Source organism: Homo sapiens, chromosome 8 (assembly GCF_000001405.40).
Source record: "Homo sapiens chromosome 8, GRCh38.p14 Primary Assembly".
Lineage (NCBI taxonomy): Eukaryota > Metazoa > Chordata > Mammalia > Primates > Hominidae > Homo > Homo sapiens.
The window spans coordinates 96,644,483-96,663,758 of NC_000008.11; the positions used below are offsets into that span (position 1 = coordinate 96,644,483).

Sequence of the window (19,276 nt, forward strand, 5' to 3'; positions counted from 1 at the left end):
TTTGATAAGAGTTTCGTTAAACAAAGGAATTTGCACTTATCAAAACATAAAGCATTGAAAACACTGAGCACATACTCTGTGACCAGAATGCGTGTGACTTGTTGAGATAAGCCACACCGGGTAATCAGATGAGTCTCCTTTCTTCTTGGGCACCCTCATATAATTCAGGCACAAACGAAAGAGAAAACGCTTTTTCTGATCTCTCAGTTCGGGTCATCTCTGCCTTCCATCATCACCGCCTAACAATCCTACACCTGGCAGGGTGGGAAAACGGTTTAATAATCTCTTCCCTTTGGGAGGCGTTTGACAGCTCAGAAAGCATGGCCTTTACTCAGGCTCAGAGACACACAAAAACCTTTCACGTTTTCCTTTCAGCTTCGCAGCCCCGTCCTTCTCCACCTGCACGGGCACCCACTGAAGCACAGGACCCTTCTGCCAAGCCATGAGCCTTCTCAGGCCCCTGCCGCCCGCCTCGCCTGAGGCTGCGCTTCTGAAAAGCACGCGGCCCTGGCCTGCGCACCACCCAGTCTGAAGGCGACGCCCCTGCACGAAGGAGTCAGGCCTAGGGGCTCGGGACCCAGGGCGACACTCAATTTTCTAACAGGAGCCACAGCCCAGAAGCTGAGAAGCCTTCCGGCCGATCTGTGGCCCTGAGGTCGCCCTTGGAGGGCGAGTGAGAACCCCCCAGGCGTTCCGGAGGTGGCCCCCAGCCCGAACCCGGCGCCCGCCCCGGCTTCCCGAGTCAGGTCTTTGCCCCGCCTCTCGGCCCCGCGGCCTGGCCGGCAAGCAGGGCTGCAGTCACGGGGCGGCGCGGAGGGCCCCAGCCCAGTCAGGGGTGTGGCCGCCGCCACCGTAAGGCTAGGCCGCGAGCTTAGTCCTGGGAGCCGCCTCCGTCGCCGCCGTCAGAGCCGCCCTATCAGGTGTGTTTGCAGCCGAACTGGCAGTGCCCGCGGGCGGCTGGGCCGAGGCCTTGGCTCCTACCCGCGGGGGTCGGGCGGGCTGAGGCTGGAGCAGGCCAGGGGCGGGGGCAGAGGGGGACGGACTTCCAGCATCGCTCATTCGGGGGCGTGACGGGAGGACCTGGCTGGGGAGCGGCGGGTTGGGAGCCTGTGGCTGCCCCTTCGGTGACAGTGGAGTCACCGAGCCTAGAAATGGGGAAGCTGTGACGTGGGGGTGGTGGAGGGTGCTGCGGGACAGCAGCGAGCACGGCCCTCAGCCGTCCTTCCCAACACGGTTTCACTTCCCCTCAGCTCCAGGGCTCAGCCCCAAGCCGCCCCCTTCATCCCCCATCTGCAAACAATCCTGGTCCCCCTGAGCCTCCAATATGCCTTATGCAGTTCTTTTGGGGTTCCTTTCGCATTTTACCGTGTACTTTCGCTTTTGATGCGTCTAGTTTCTGCTACTGGACTCTCCTAGAATCGAAGTTCCATGAGGGCAAAGTCCCATCTGACTTAGGACTCAGAGCTACTCAATAAGTAATTGAATGAGTACCTATGCCGTAGAACTGAGTGAATTAACAAATGAGTAAGTGAATAAATGAGTGCATACGAGATACAGCTGAATCAATCAGTGCATGAGTGAAAATAAAGATGTATGAAGTGGAAGCAGTGGAGACGCAGGCTTACAACTCCTGTTTTTTGATAGCTTTCCAAAAAGTTGTGTGAATGTCGCACTTTTGCAAATGGAGGCATTCTGATTGGGACCACTTAAAAAGAGTTCTATGCTGTTCAAATGGTCTCTGGAAACGCCCCCTGGTATTTCCATTTTTGTTGGACTTGGCTATATGTGTTTGCTTAAAACAAAATATGCCTAGGTTTTTTCTTGCTTGTGTTTTGTTCACTTCTACTTTGGACGTTTAAAGAATCATTGTCACTATAATATTATTTCATGTATTTCTTAAAGATAAGGGTGACTCTGAAGGCAGAACCATATGACTCTGACTTGTTTGTAAAACCAGGCTTTTCTTTTGAATTCAGAGTTGTTAAGAATCTTGTCTGTTTTCCTGAGACAGGTGCTGGCTGATTTGCAGGTGACTGAAGAAGGCTACATAAGGCCCAGAAAGACGCTTATCTGTTTGTAAACAAATAGGCTTAGCACATAGCTTTAATACAGTTGGTCACTGCAGCCGTTCTTACTTGCCAGGTCCAGGTTCCAGAAGAGCTGGATGACCTTGGACTTGCCACTTGATCTCTTTAGGTTTTAATTTCTTAATCTCCAAAATGAAGATGTTTAGCTAGGAACCCTGCCTGAGTTAAACCTCTGGGATTCTTTTGTATCAGGGTTAGAAGGTGAAATTACAGATGATTTCATGGAGTTCTGCTTACTTCACCTCCCATAGCATTTTGTCTCTGCTCTCTTCTTTGCTGTTTACAGCTCATTTCCTTTCTTCTCCACATCTGCAACAAGAAAGCCTGGGAGCTCAAGATAAGTGTAATAAACCCTAGGCTGGTGGGGAGAAAGGAGGGTAAGATTTTCTTCTACATTGTCACAGGCTCCTGGTCCTGGGTCTGACTTTTTTCCAGTGCAACCCAGTCTGACAATGCCATATATTCCCAGTATATCTGGGGAACTGCATCACTATTTCTTCGCATGCATTTGAGATTAGTTATCATAGATCACATTTTGGAGCTGGAAGGACCTTGGAGATTTTTTAAAGGCACTTCAAAAGTCATTATACATACATATTTAAATATTTTTGCATGCTACATTTAACAAACACAAAGTTCCAAATGTGTTAAGTAAAATGAAATTAATGTTACCTACTTCAGTGAATTCAAGTTTATAAGGAGAAGTGGAATACACATGTTGCTTGGTGAAAAGGGCCAACTTTCTCACACTGTTTTCCCAATGAGGTCATGTGTCATACAGGCATGGAATGTTACAAAGCTGATATTTATGGGGCACTGACCATACACCAGGCACTGTTATATTTAACCTTTTTACTTATATTGCCCCATTTAATCATCACTATATATCTAAGAGCTAGATACTATGGTAAGTCCTATTTGATCTTCTTAACTAGAAACAGTACATGGAAAATGGGAGAGTTAGGACTCAAAACTCAAGCAGATGGAAACAGGGTTTCTCCCAGAAACAAGACAATCCTGCCAGGAAAAACTGTGTGACTTTGAAGAATGTGGTCTCTGTGTGTGTTCAAGCATATATACAAACCCTGGGTTATTTGGGTAAATGAATTTAGAATGAGAGCACAGGGTGAAATGATGAAGACTGAATTATAGGGGAGTTGGTTGTTTTATCATTTTGAAAATTATTGAATTCCATTGAGATTCCAGGAGACTCTGATACTTTGACCTAGGTGCCCATGCATCTTAATTTTAAATGTGTTCAGACTTACCAATTTAGGGAATATAAAATGAGTGACATCGACAGCTGCCATCAGTGAATGGCACTTAAGGGCTTTGAACCATGAGTGCTAAGCAGTGTTGTTTCTTGGACTAGCTTTGTGCCCTTGGTAAGGCACTGCCTCCCAACCTCTTTCTTTATAAGACCAACAACCCCTAGTATAGACAAAGAACAATGCCTACATCTGTGTAATCCAGAGACAAGAATGCAGGATGGGTTTCCAGAACCCTTATAATTAATTGAAGAGAGCAAAAGACGAAAAGAGAGGCCCATAAAATAAATGGGAAATTATTTTGTTTCTTTTTCGTCAGCCAAGTTTAGCCCCATGGAAAGCAGAGACCAGTTGTGGCCGCCTGAAAAACTAAGAGCTGATGCCAGTTTGATTTAGCTCAGGAGGCTGAAACTTTCTGCCCCGAAGGCTGGTGTGATGGAATAGACCTTCCCATTGCTCACAATATTATGAAAAAAACATTAAAGCAACAATTTTTATTACTTGCCCTGCAGCTAGAGCTTTAAAATGTACTTTCTTCTCCCCTACCCTCCCTAAACCACTTAGCTTTTAAAAACAAACAACCCATTCATGTGTTTGTTACAGTCACATTATTAGTTCTTTCTCTTTATTCCTGGGCCCTTTTCTTTAATGCAGCAAAGTATTTGGAGGGATGTACTTGTGGATCTGTGGAATTTTACTTTATTTTATTCAGAAAATATTAATTTCAATAACCATTTATTGAGTGTATACTATGTGACAGGTAAAGATGAATGAGAACAAATCTAAATAGGAGAGTGACCCATCTGCAAACAATTGCACCACAGGGTAATGTGGAAGTAGTGGCCACTCACTCTTCCAGGAAAGAGGTATGATTGGAACTCAGGAAGACTTTGCAGAGAAGGTGAATTTTGAACTGTGTTTTAAAGCCTAAAGACCAAGCAGAGGGAGAAGGGTATTCCAAGAATGGAGAACAACAAGAGCAAGGAAAAGGAGGCAAGTATGAACATGGCATTCTTCAGGAGATGGGAGTTCAGTGTGGCTGTGGTAGGGAGGTGTGGTAAGGTTAGGGCCAGACAGTGATGGTCCTTGAATGTCATGTTATTTAAACTTTATCACAGTCTAGATAATCCTTTTCAGCATTATTTTTGTTTTGTTTTGTTTTGAGGCAAGGCCTCTCTCTGTCACCCAGGCTGGAGTGCCGTGGCAAGATCTCACTGCGACTTCCGCCTCCCGGTTCAAGTGATTCTCCTGCCTCAGCCTCCCAAGTAGCTGGGACTACAGGCACACACCACTACAGCCTGGCTAATTTTTTTATTTTTAGTAGAGACGGGACTTTGCCATGTGGGCCAGGTTGATCTCGACCTTCTGGCTTCAAGCTATCTGCCTGCCTTGGCCTCCCAAAGTGTTGGGATTACAGGCATGAGCCACTGTGCCTGGCTCTTTTCAGCATTTTTAAGCTGAATTTTAAACAGAGGAATGATATGATTGGATTTTCCTTAGAAAATAGCTACAGTAATAATGTTTCAGAAGAATTGGGGAAGGAAGAGCCAGAAGGCCACAGGAAAATGAAGATGCTATTGCCATAGGTCTAATGAAATAGGATAAGGATCTAAACTAAGATAGGTTTGAGAGACTATTTGAAGACAGAGCAGGATTAATGACTAGCTGGAGCTGGATATGGGAAATATGTTTGAAAATAATCTGAGGTTTTGGAATTGCTTAACTGGGTGAGTGGAGATGCCACTAATGAGGGTAAGAAATATAAGGTGAGGAAGAAGTTTCGGGAGAAAGACGGTGAGTGAGCAGAGGTAGCTGTGGAACATCTGGGTGGAGATCCCAGGATATAGCCTTTTCTGTAGCTGTGCTGTGATGTCACACAGTCAAGACCTTGGCCAAACATTACAATAGGGCCTCAGTCTAAAAAGACACATCAATTTAATAACTCACTTAAAAAATACATCATACTTATCTAATGACCATTACATTATATTTCAGGCAAGTTATTAGAGAACTCTGATTCTTATGTAAGTGCCAGTGAAGGAAAAAAGATTGGAGACTCAAACAATGAGGAGTTATTATAAGCTGCCAGGAGAAACTGAAAAAGAGAAATACAGACCAGAGTCATTCAAAGGAACAAAGATAAGGAAATGGCAGGAGTGTTGCAGAAAGCAGTGGTTTCTGAAGACACAGGTATAGGCAGATATGAAATACAGAGAAGAAATTTGAGCTGGCGCTTCCAAATAACTGTACTTCTTTAATGGTAAGATATCCCAAGCTTTGATTTCTCATCTTATTCAGTTTGTCAGGAAGAGACAAACAGGTGTGGGTGCTGGGCAGAGGGCTTGATCTCATTTTGCAGAGAAAGTGTTTGGAGACTTTGAACTAAGCAAAGAGTAACAGGGAAAATAAGATAAAAATGAAAAGGGTAATGATTCGGAGAAATTTTTCAGAGAATTTAAGGAATTCTATGACAAACAGGTGTTAAAGAAAAAGGCAGATCAACGCAGTGTTCTCTTGATATAGTGGTATTAGACTTCCTTGGAAAAAAGATTCGCATAGCGCCTTATATTTAAAAAGCAATTTTATATTTGATTGTTACAAGAACCTAGGAAGCAGGTGCAGCCAGGCATTATTATCTTTCTTTTATAAACTTAAAATCTGGCATGAAGGAGGCTGCAGTTTGTTTCATGGCTCAGACGGCTCAGATCCCATGGCTGGCAGGGACTCAGAGCCTTCTGACTTTGGGTCCATTGCTTTGTCCATTGTATCAACGCCTTGCCTTACCTTGGAACCTTGGCCTTCTGCAGTGTGCCTCCTTCCCTTATCATATCATATCACATAAATGTAAAAGTAAAGCAGATGGTATTTGAAGACCAAAAGAGCCAAGATCTCTGGGGAGACAGGCAGTGATGTGAAAGGATCCTTAGCACTGATTATGCTATATACAATAGGGATGTTCATGAAGAGTTGTGCATAGAGTGTTATCTACGTAAATCAAATGACACTTTCAGTGCAGTAGGGGAGTCCACAATATCCAAAGTGTTATGATTAAATTTTTTATGAGGCAAATAATCCCTTTATAAAATGAACAATCAGTCACTCCTTGATATATTATCTGAATAAATCCAGATTTTCAAATATGGGGTTGACTTAAAGCAAGATACATCTCTAGTAGCCTACATCTATATTTATCATATATGAAGATTTTTCTGACTTGGGTATTGAATATGAAGATGGGGATCTGGAGCTGGATCCTCTAATTGTTAGAGACCATTTAAAATACAATGGACATCATGACTTGCAGCTAAATCCATTCAGCTACCTTTACTGTTTACCAAGCACCTAACAGGTATGCCATTGGATGGGGCAAAACTCAGCTGGGAAATGGAGAGAGAAGCCCAGCACTGGCACTGCCTTGAGTCTGACAGTTAGACCACAAGAAAGTCATAAATGTAAATTCACCAATATAGTGAGCCAGGGTAAGAAAACTAGAAACTCTTATGGTCCTTGAATTCTACATCAGTATTAAAATGAAACCAAGTATATTTCAAAGCAAAGACTGTTATATTAGACCCAGAGTTATTCTGTACTGACAAAAGATAATCTTTGTAAGGAAGAAGAGGTAGTTGTGACTCTTTATGCATCAAACATTTAAAAATGCATATCTTTAAAACATGTAAAACTAATGATTAGATCTATGAGAAATAAGCGAAGCTATTTGTAGGACACTTTAGATCTGTTGTTTTACATGACAAATCAAGTAGACAAAGTCAAATGGTAATACACAAGATTTGAATAATATAACTAATGAGGTTGAATAATATAATTTATGAGTGAATAGGGATATGGAACATTTAATAGTATATTTTATTATTAATCAAAAAATTATGTTATGTATGAATATATATGTACATGATATATATTGGGATATATATGGGGTATATGTATGTATATATGTCTCCTTTTTTGCATTAATAAGTTCTTTTTTATTTTACTGTAAATTGGCAAATTATGGTTGTATATATTTATGAAATACAAAGTAATGTTGATATATGTCATAATACAACCTTCCATACAATGTGGAATGATTAAATCAAGCTAATAAACATACCCATCACCTTAAATACTTATCATTTTTGTGGTGAAAATATTTGAAATTTGCTCTCTTAGCAATTTTGAAATATACAACACAGTATAATTAACTATAGTCATCATGCTGACAATATAATCTCAAAAAATTTATTCCTCTTGTTTAATTGAAACTTTGAACCCTTTGGCATTCCCCATTTTCCCCAACCCCTCAGACTTTGGTAAGCACCATTCTACTCTACGCTTCTTAGTTCTGTTGTTTAGATTCCACGTAGAAGTGAGATCATGTGGTATTTGTCTTTCTGTGCCTATGTCTGGCTTATTGCATTTAGCATAATGTCCTGCAGCTTCATCCATGTTGTCACAAATGACAGAATTTCCTCATTTTTAAAGGCAGAATAGTATTTCATTGTGCATATGTGCCACCTATTCTTTAGCCATTTATCTGTTGATGGACACTTCGGTTGATTCTATAATTTGGCTATTGTGAATAGTGCTGCAGTGAACATGGGATTGCATATGTCTCTTTAATATAATTATTTCAAATCTTTGGCTATGTACTTAGAAGTGGGATTGGTGGATCATATGATAGTTCTATCTTTAGTTTTTTTGAGGACCCTCCATGAAGTTTTCTGTAATGGCTATACTAATTTACATTCCCATCAACAATGTATAAGAGTTTCCTTTACTTCACATTGTCACCAGAATTTTTTTTTGTTTGTTTGAGACGGAGTCTTGCTCTATCGCCCAAGCTGGAGTGCAGTGGCGCCATCTCTGCTCACTGCAAGCTCCGCCTCCCGGGTTCACGCCATTCTCCTGCCTCAGCCTCCTGAGTAGCTGGGACTACCGGCGCCCGCCACCATGCCCGGCTAATTTTTTTTGTATTTTTACTAGAGACGGGGTTTCACTTTGTTAGCCAGGATTGTCTCGATCTCCTGACCTCGTGATCCGCCCGCCTCAGCCTCCCAAAGTACTGGGATTACAGGCGTGAGCCACCGCACCCGGCCCCAGAATTTTGTTTTTGAGGCAGGATCTGGTTCTTTTGCTCAGGCTGGAGTACAGGGGCGTGATCTTGGCTCACTGCAACCTCTGCCTCCCAGGCTCAAGCCATCCTCCCTCCTCAGCCTCCTAGGTGACTGGGACTACAGGTGTGCCACTGGGCCTGGCTAATTTTTGTATATTTGTAGAGAAGGAGTTTCGCCATGTTGCCCAGACTGGTCTCAAACTCCTGAGCTCAAGCAATCTACTCTCCTTGGCCTCCCAAAGTGCTGGATTACAGGAGTGAGCCACAGTGCCTAGTACATTTGTCATTTTCTGTCTTTTTCATAATAGCCATTCTAACTGGGGTGAGATAGTCTCATTGCAGTTTTGATTTGCATTTCTTTGATAATTAATGATGTTGAGCATTTTTTAATATATCTGTTGGCCATTTATATGTCTTTTGAGAATTGTCTGTTCAGGCTCTTTGTCCATTTTTTAATCAGGTTGCTTGTTTTCTTGCTATTGAGTTGTTTGAGTTCCTTATACAGTTCATCCTTGAGCAATGCGGGGCTTAGCGGTGCTGACTCCCTCTACAGTTGAAAATTCTAGTATAACTTTTGATTCCCCCAGAACTTAACTACTAATAGCCAACTGTTGACTGGAAGCCTTACCAGTAACATAAATAGCCAATTAACACATATTTTGTATGTTACATGTAATATATACTATCTGCTTACAATAGAGTAAGGTAGAGAAAAGAAAATTTTATTGAGAAAATCCTAAGGGAGAGAAAATATATTTACTATTTATTAAGTGGAAGTGAATCACCATAAAGGTCTTCACTCTTGTCATCTTTATGTTGAGTAGGCGGAGGAGGAGGAGGAAGAGAAGGGATTGGTCTTGCTGTCTTAGGGGTGGCAGAGGTGGAAGAAGCGAGGAGGTGAAAGGCGAGGGAGGAGAGGCAGGCCCACTTGGTGTAACTGTCTGGAAATACATAATAATTTCTGTATGGCTACTTTTCTCTTTCTAAAAATGTTGTAAAGTTTATCTTAAAATGTTTCTATACAGTATCAGTCTTTCTTCTGCTATTTGCATTAGCTTCAGTGCCCATATCATAGAAGCGTTCATGTCATAAAAGAAGTCAAATGCAGTCTTAAATAATCAGAACGCTTCTGCCAGATTGTCTGATGTTAATTTGCTTTTTGGTACTTTTATATCCTCCTCATCATCATAAGGCACTGGTTCAGAAGCACTCCGTCAAGTTGTCTTCTGTCAATTCCTCTGGTGTGTAGTGTCTATTAGCTCTTGAATTTCTCCAAGATTCATATCTTGACACCTTCATTCACCACCTTTTTTCCCACTATATTTACAATCGCTTTCATTATTTCCTTGAATTGGCTTTGTCATAAACCCTGTGAAGTCATACACAACAGCTGGGCACAGTTTTCTCCTGCAGGAACTTATTGTTGGCTTGATGGCTTTCACAGCTTTTTCTATAACAATGATGGTGTCTTCAATGGGGTAATCCTTCTAGGCTTTCATGATGTTCTCTCTATCGGGGTTCTCTAACATAGCACTGACATCCTTTCCATAGAGTACTGTGTATAATGAGCCTTCAAGGTCCTTATGATCCCCTAATCTAGAGGATGATTAGAGATGTTGCGTTTGGGGGCAAGTAGGACACTTGGATGTCTTTGATGTTGAACTCATGGGGTTCTAGGTGGCCAGGGGCATTGTCTAATATGAAAATAATTTTAAAAGGCATTCCCTTACCAGCAAGATACTTTCTGACTTCAGAGAAAAAGCATCAGTGGAACCAATCCAGAAAAATAGTTCTTGTTTAAGCCAAAAGACTGGTAGCTGATGTTTATCTTTTTCCATCAAGGCTTGGAGGTTAGCAGCTTTATAGATGACAGTCCTGACCATAAACCTGACTGCATTTGCATGAAACAGTAGTTAGCCTATGCCTTCCTACCTTAAATCTTGGTGCTCACTTCTCTTCCTTACTAATAAATGTCCTTTGTGGCTTTTTTTTTTTTTCCAGAATACAGCATGTTCAGCTGCATTAAAACCCTGTTTAGGCAGGTATCCTTTCTCCTCAATGATTTTTTAATGGCTTTGCAATATAGTTTGATATCAGGCAGTGTGATGCCTCCAGTTTTGTTTGTTTTATTTAAGATCATCTTGGTGATTTTTTTTAATTCCCTATGAATTTTAGGGTTATTTTTTCTGTTTCCTTTTAAAATATACTTTCTGGCCATTTTTCTCTCTCTTCGTCTTCTGAAATTATGTGAAGATTAGTTCCCTTGACTGTGATTGTGTCACATAATTCTTGTAGGTTTTCTTCATCTTTTCCATTCTTTTTTCTTTTTGCTCCTCTGATGAATAATTTCAAATATTCTGTATTTAGCTCATTGATTGTGCTGCTTAATTGAGTCTGCTGTTGAAGATTTCTATTGCATTTTTCAATTAAGTCATTGTATTCTTTATCTCTTGGGTTTCTTTTTTATTGTTTCTACTTCTTCTATATTCTCATTTTGTGTATTGTTTCTCAAATTTCATTTAATTTTATATCCATATATTCTTGTAGTTCACTGAACTGCTTTACAAGGATTTTTCTGAATCTTTTTTCTGCCACTTTATAGATCTTCATTTTTTAGTCTGTTATTGGAACTTTGTTAGTTTCTTTTGATGATTACAGATGCTCTTTGACTTACAATGGGCTTATGTCCTATTAAACCCATAGTAATTTCAAAACTTTGTAAGTAAGAAATGTGTTTAATACCCCAGTAAACCAATTGTAATGTCAAAAAATTATGAGTTGAACCATCATAAGTGCAGATGCTCCTTGACTTACAATGGGGTTATATCCTGATAAGTCCGTTGTAAAGTTGTATAGTTGTAAGTTGAACCATCATAAATTGGGGACCGTCTATATTTGTAATCCTTGTGTTCTAGCATTGGTGTCTGCACATTTGAAGAGACAGCTTCCTCCTGAGTGCAGTGGTATAATGACAGCTCACTGCAGCCTTGACCTCCTGGGCTCATAAGATTCTCCCACCTCAGCCTCTTGAGTAGTTGGGACCACAGGTGTTTGCCACCATGCCTGGCTACTTTTTGTATTTTTTGTAGAGAGGGGTTTCACCATGTTGTCCAGGCTGGTCTTGAACTCCTGGGCTCAAGTGATCTACTTACCTTGGCCTCCCAAAATGCTGGAATAACAGGCATAAGCCACTGCATCCAGCCCCAACAGCTTGCTCTTCTGGTCTTTACAGGTATTCTTTGTCAGGGATTGACCTTTACTTCTTAGTCTAGGCTGTGATTCTAGTTGGGTCAGGTGGTAATGACCCCATGCAGGCAGAGCTCGCTATAGTTGGCTGGGTGCTGCCTTTGCTCTGAGGTCTGATGGGGCTGCTGGCTCGGCTCCCATGCTTCGGGGAGACCACTGGCTGAGCTCTGCTATAATTTCTGATTGGACAAGGTTGTAGGGTGTACTTCCTGGCTGGGTGGTACTACTTTTTTGGTTCAACAGTTGAGCAGGGCTGCAGGCTGGACTCTGAGTTTAGGTGGAGTTGCTGCTCAGGATGGATGGGGTCTGGAGTATATGCTGCATAGAACTGCACAGTTGAGGATTGCCTGTCTCTGGGCAGGGCCTTAGAGTGGGCTCTGAGTCTGGATTGAGTCACTCTTTGGATTTCTGCGTCAGGCAATTCCAACCCCTATGATCCACAGAAATGCCCTGTGATGGTCATCTCCACATCTCCCGCCTGGGTAAGGCATTGAGGTCGCCTCTGAGGCTGGCCGTCTAAAGACTCAAAGCAGGCTGACCTTCTCATCATGTTTCTGTGAACAGTGAACTTGGCTTTGCAAGTGAGCCATACCATTGGCTGGTATCTCTGATTGTGCACCACCACTGGGAGGAACATAGAGCCATCACCAAAATTTGCACACTGGTCCCTGTGAGCTCTGCCTCCTTTCTTTGTTTATACCTAACCCAGGAGGTCTAGCCATGTCATTACTGCCAGTATTCCCCATGAGGTCAGATGGGAGTGGGCTTTCTGGGAAGTGTCTCAGAATGCTAGGGAGCTGGATGTCTAGAAACTCTGGTTACCTTTTTTTTTTTTTTACTGTATGGGCCCAGTTAAAAAGATCCTCTTGGCTGGGCACAGTGGCTCACGCCTGTAATCCCAGCACTTTGGGAGGCCGAGGTGGGTGGATCACGAGGTCAGGAGATTGAGACCATCCTGGCAAACATGGTGAAACCCCGTCTCTACTAAAAATACAAAAATTAGCTGGACGTGGTGGTGTGCGTCTGTAATCCCAGCTACTCAGGAGGCTGAGGCAGGAGAATCACTTGAACCCAGGAGGCAGAGGTTGCAGTGAGCTGAGATTGTGCCACTGCACTTCAGCTGGGGCAACAGAGTGGGACTCTGTCTCAAAAAAAAATCCTCTCTCTGTGTGTCACCATGCTGATCTGGGGGAGCAGGAGGGGCAGTGTAGTCAACGTGAGATTGTTCCTCTTCTAATGTGGTTTTTATTTGATTCAGTGGCCTATTCATTCAGCTGTCTCCGTTTCTTTCTCAAGTTTGTAAGTTTTCACAAAAGTGTTCTTGTCTTTGGATTGTTGCTTGTTGGACTTTCTGTAGAGGGAAGTGAAGCCAAGTGAAGCCTGGGACTTCCTATTCTGCCATCTTGCTGATGTCATGCCTACATGTTTACAGAAAATTCACATCCTCTTATAACATTTATGAGACATTGTAAAAAACAAAACAAAACAACAACGACAACAAAACCCAAAAGCCTTAAATGAAGACTTTAGTGAATTCCAGAGTCCTTCTTACTCTTACTGGCCTTGTGCCTTAGCCCTCTGGTTTAGCCCCTGTTTCCAGCTAGCTTTTAACAGGTTGAGATGATGAAAAGAAAACATACCTCTCTCCTTTCATAATGCTGTGAAGTAGCTCATATAATTCATCTTCCACGTTTATATACGTATGTCTCTTTTGTGCCCAGAGCATCATTTTGAGATTCTTTTTTCATTATCAAAATACATTGGATCTATGTTATTCATAACTAATCTGAGGCTGTATTTGTTACATTTGAGTATTTTAAATCATTAATGCCATATGTATTGTATACCAAAATTTACCATCTAAAACACCTGGCTATTCTTTTGTAGGGTTTTTCTTTTCATTAGCTTTTTTGAGCTAAAGCTTAAAGAAAATCAGGGACCAAAGGAAGGTTAGAAAGTGGCTGGAGGTATCATAAACACCAACTAAGTTCTTTGAGAAGCAGAAGGTGCATCATGGAAATCAGCATTATTCTGACTTCATTTCATTGCCTACTCAGTCCAAATTTTAGGGTTTACAACTTAAACTAATAACTCACTGGCACCTTGCATTTCCTGTGGCTTAATGGTTAAGAACATGGGCTTTGAAGTCATTGTCCTGAGTTCAAATTTGAGGTCTACCACCATCACCTATGTGACTTTGGGCCAAACACATATACTCTTTATACCTCCATTTCTTCATCCATAAAATTGGGATAAAAATTATAACTGTCTGCAGTGGGCAGAATACTGTCTTCCCTACCACCCCCTACGGTGTCCATATCTTAATCCCTGAAACTGTGCATGTTAGATTACATTGCAAAGGGGAATTAAGGTTGCAGATAGAATTAACATTATTAATCATCTGGCCTTAAAATAGGAAATTATGCTGGATTATCCTGGTGGGCCCAATGTAATCACAAAGGTCTTTAAAAGTGGAAGAGTGAAGCAGAAGAAGTCAGAGAGTTAGGAAGATGTGATTATGGAAGAATGTTCAAAGAGAGACAGTGCCACTGGCTTTGAAGATGGAGGAAGGGGGCCATGAGCCAAGGAATGTGGGTGGCCACGAGCCAAGGAATGTGGGTGGCCACTAGAAACTGAGGAAAGCAAGGAAATAGATTCTCTCCTAAAGCTTCCAGAAAGGGATGCAGTCCTGCCGATACCTTGCTTTTACGTGATGCATACAGTGTCAGACTTCTGACCTAAAGAACTGCAAAATAATAAATTTGTATTCAGATACCAAATTTGTGGTATTTTGTTACAGCAGAAATAGGAAATAAATGCACCGCCATATGGGGTTGTTGTAAGGGTTAGGAAATGTAAACCTTTAAGATAGACCTGCCACATGGTAAATGCTCAGTTAGTATTAGCCACTATTATTATCCATTGGTACTTTAGTTTCCCTTCTGTCTTTGCTCTTTTGTGGTAGTTGTCTTGTAATTACCCAAATTTGTGGTTATCTTCCCTACAAAGACTATGGCCCTAGGTGTTTTTCACTCTCATTTTAGTCTATACTCAGCCTCCAGTAATTTGTCAAAATTACCATTTCAGAGTTCCTACCATTTTGTGGTTCCAGCAGCTTCTGTTCCAGGTGAGTAGATCTTGGCTGTGACTCTCTGGATTTGCCTGTCTCTCCAGATTTTAGGGTGGTAGTTTGCCCTGCAACTTCAGTTCTGTGGGGCATCCAAGGAAAGTCGCTGGTTTTCACTTTGTTTTGTTTCATTATTGTAAGGACATGAGTGCTGACTTCCGAGTTCTTTACATGTTGGTACTGAAATTGGAAGTGTGGGCAGTGCTCTTTACCCTACGGCTTTAATAATCTTTCTATACACATGAGATCTTCATCTCTACACTTTACTTCTTTCTGATTTCCATTATCTGGTTTTCACTTCATTCATTTCATTTCCAAACATGCTTTTTCTGTATTTTCTATTTAGGTTAGTGGCATCTCAATCCAAGGGATAGTAGTTAATTTGATGTGTCTGAAATACAGGGTACAAAACAGGCTCATAGTCGGGGAGATTGCCCTTAACTCTCCACCTTTCCTGAATCCTTTTCTTCAGAATTAGTAAGTCGCCAAGGGCTGTTGTGTCTATGAATTTTGCCCACATCCTTGCTGTCATTACGCTAGTCCTAACTCTTGACTCGGCCATGCAGAATATTTTAAACCACTTTATCCTCTACACTGCCTCAGAGTTAGATCATAAGTTGGATCATGTTACTTCCTCTCTCAGAAGACCTACATTTTGAAAAATTGCTTGTGGAATAAATCCCAAACTCCTAATTTGGCATTTAAGGTTCTTAAAGATCTGTAATTAAGGTATATTTCTAGGTGGATTCATAGTGCATGTACCTACTGTATTTGCTAGTGCTACCACAACAAAATCCTGCAGACTGGGTAGGTTAAACAACAGAAATGAATTTTCTCATGGTTGTGGGGGCTGGAAGTCCAAGATCAAAGTGTCTGCATGTTTGGTTTCTTCTGAGGCCTCTCTTTTTGGCTTGCACGTGGCCATCTTTTCTCGAGGTACTTACATAGTCTTCTCTCTGTGCATGCACACCCCTGATATCGCTCTGTGTATTCCAGTTTCCTCTTCTTATATGGACACCAGTCAGATTCTTTTAGGGCCCACCCTGATAGTCTCATTTTACCTTAACACCTCTTTCAAAGCCCCATTTTCAAATAGTCACAGTCCAAAGCCCTGGGGGTTAGGGCTTTAACGTATGAATTTTGGGGAACACAATTTAGCCCATAACACCGACTGTATCCCTCTATGTATTCTGTACTCATGAATGTATAATGGATCACCTAGGAAGATTTAGAAAATACTGATTTGGGGGTCTCACCCAACTTCTTGTAGGTTCTGAATCAGTAGGTCTGAAATGGGGCTGAGAATACATTTGGTGTGTGTGTGTGTGTGTGTGTGTGTGTTTATACTTCTCCCTAGTGCTTTCCCAGCTTTCCTAGACTCTTTAACATTATTGGTGAACATACTATAAATGTTCATACCTTTGCTCATATTTGTTTTTTAACTGAAAATTCTCTTCCTACCATACCTATGAAATTTAATATCTATGAAAATTAATTCAGCCTTCTAGGCTGATCTGAAATATCATCTTTTCTGTTATCTTTTTCTTATTCTCTCCAGAGATAATCCTGCAATACTTTGTTGTGATTTTATTTTACTTTATATAAGTACTGAAGAATTTATTTTGTTTTATATGATAGTCATTTGCCTTCTTCTTTCACTAGCTTTCTGAGACCAAAGAGGACATATTCTTTATTTCTGTATATATGAAACAGTGGCAGTTGCTCTGAACATAGTAGATAATTAATCAATCTTTGCAGTGTGAAAAATGAACTAGTTAAGAAATGCTAATATTTTTATTGTGACTTTTTATAAAATGGAGATCATTGGGTAAAAAATGAACATATCAAATGTAAAACAAGTGGCAGACTTTTTTTTAAAAAAGACTTTACTTTTTTTTGAAAAGCAGTTTTAGATTGAGAAGGTGTAGAAATATCCCATACACTACCTGCCCCTCACATGTGCATTCCCTACCAGAGTGGTACATTCGTTGCAATTGATGAACCCATATAGACATATCATCATCGCCCAAAGCCCATGGTTTGTATTAGCGTTCACTCTTGGTGGTGTGCTTTCTATGGGTTTGGATTGCCCTAAAAATCCCCTGTACTCTACTTGTTCATCCCTCCCTTCCCCTCACTCCTGGCAACTACTGATCTTTTCTCTGTGTTCGTAGTTTTGCCCTTTCCAAGATGTCATATAGTTGGAATCATACAGTATGTAGTCTTTTCAGATTCGCTTCTTTCACTGAGTAATATGCATTTACTTCTCCTCCCTGTCTCTTTATGGCTTGATAGCACATTTCTTTTTAGCTCTGAATAATATTCCATTGTCTGGGTGTGCTACAGTTTATTTATCCGTTCACCTACTGAAGATCATCTTGGTTGCTTCCAAATTTTGGCAATTATGAATAAAGCTGCTCTTTACATCCATGTGCAGGTTTTTGTGTTTACATGTTTTCAATCCTTTTGGGAAAATATTAAAGAATGCCATTGCTGGATTGTATGTTAAGAGTATGTTTAGTTTTTTAAGAAACTGTCAAACTATTTTCCAAAGTGGGTGCACCATTTTACATTCTCACCAGCAATGAGTGAGCATTCCTGTTGCTCCACATCCTCACCAGCATTTGGTGTTGTCAGTATTATGGTTTTGGGCCATTCTGCTAGGTCTGTAGTGGTATCTTGTTTTCTTTTCCATTTCCCTGCTTACATATGATGTGAAGTATCTTTTCACATGTTTATTTTCCACTTTATATCTTCTTTGGTAAGGTGTCTGTTAAGGTCTTTGGGTCATTTTTTAATTGGGTTGTTTGTTTTCTTGTTGCTGAGTTTTTAAGAGTTCTTTGTATATTTTGGATAATAGTCCTTATATTTAATATGTCTTTTGCAAGAGTGGCAGAATTTTTGTTCATTATTTTTTTCTTGAATTAAATATCCTTAACATTACACATAAACAGTATTTTTAATGTGTATTTTCAATTTGGAACTTTTAACATTTAAAAATTTCTCTTGATGAAGATATGTGATAATAAAATGGGGGGCAAAGTGAAGACATTGTAACAATTTTTGATAATCGCATCTTCTTCTGCATTGCATTTTTCAGGGCAGAGTATTAATGGTCCAGTTCTTAAAGATAAATGGATTCCTCAATGTTTATTTGTAGTATATCCTTGTTTATTCTCCTAATGAAGAACTGCATCCTTAAAGCTGGCATAATTAGGTAGACTTGTCTATTAGCTGAGCTACTAAGCTTTATTTTCCTGGGCCAATGAATAACAGAAACAATTCTCAAAATAATTAAATCTGTTAAGACCCAGTTTTGGGGTAAGGAGCTGGGGTCTGGCATTTCCTTTTTGTTGGTTTTTCAAAAATTATTAAAACTTCAATGCTTGGCCAGGTGTGGTGGCTCATGCATACAATCCCAGCACTTTGAGTGGCAGGCAGATCGCTTGAGCCCGGGAGTTCAACACTAACCTGGGCAACATGGCAAAACCTCAACTGTACAAAAAATATGAGAATTAGTTGGGTGTGGTGTGGCACTCCTGTGGTCCCAGCTACTTGAGAGGCTGAGGCGGCAGGATTACCTGAGCCCTGTAAGGGTGAGGCTGCAGTGAGCCAAGATCGCACCAGCACTCCAGCCTGAGCTACAGAGCAAAGCCCTGTCTCAAACAAAACAAAACAAAATCTCAACGTTAAACTTTCTAGAGAATGGGTAATCACCTTTCAAGTCATTTTTCCAAACCCATTTCTGAACCAGGACAGGCAATAACAGAGATTGGCAGGGGAAGGACTGATGTCTCCTCACAAGGGAAAAAGGACTCTGCATTGAAAACACAGATGAGCCTTTGGATGTGGAAATTTACAAGGCTCAGAGAGCCCCGAAACATCTTCAGAAGTGGAGCCCAGCAGAATAATGGGAGGCTGTGTGCTGGCTTGGCACTGGAGACTGTCTGGCACAAACTACACTGTAAACAACTCCTCAAACATTTTCATCTGCATACATGACATTAGATTCTCCAAATGTCCAATTAAACACTTGTCAATGGAAGAAATGTTTGTTTCCTCAGCTGACCTGTTGTCAGCCTTGGCCTTCCTGATGGGGAAGCAGTTTCAGCTGATACTGTTGTATGCTCTTCCTTTCTGGGCCTGATCTTGTCCCTGTTGAGAACTGTGGAGACTGTGCCAAGCTGTGGACCATGGGATTAGGTTAGGTAACTAAAGAAAATATCCAGGCTGTGAGCACTTTTCAAACCTAAGAAAATCTTTAGTTTCTTTTGCACAGTTGTAAACCGTTTGTGCTTAAAAAATTATAAAAGTGATTGCAGTTGAGATAGAGAAAAGAGCAGTGCTGATATGTGTTTATATACTTCTAAGGGCTGACTTCATTTTTTTCAACATCTTAAACTTCTATTGAACAAATATTGTGTGTGTAGGTGTG

At 41.0% G+C, this 19,276-nt stretch overlaps 1 protein-coding gene across 1 annotated transcript in view, besides 1 other annotated feature; it reads left to right on the forward strand.

Moving 5' to 3' along the window:
- Nucleotides 635-1,184: a silencer, noted in NCBI's record as "silent region_19389". NCBI's record gives its function as "represses an Ori minimal core promoter by ATAC-STARR-seq in GM12878 lymphoblastoid cells {active_cell/tissue: GM12878}" and the evidence as "EXISTENCE:reporter gene assay evidence [ECO:0000049][PMID:35858748]".
- The window catches only part of CPQ (carboxypeptidase Q), a 498,260-nt gene continuing 479,743 nt past the window's right edge, over nucleotides 760-19,276 (forward strand). Inside the window, exon 1 of the mRNA NM_016134.4 lies at nucleotides 760-920. The gene's annotated coding sequence lies outside the window, so the exon portion shown is untranslated. The remainder of the gene's footprint in view (nucleotides 921-19,276) is intronic.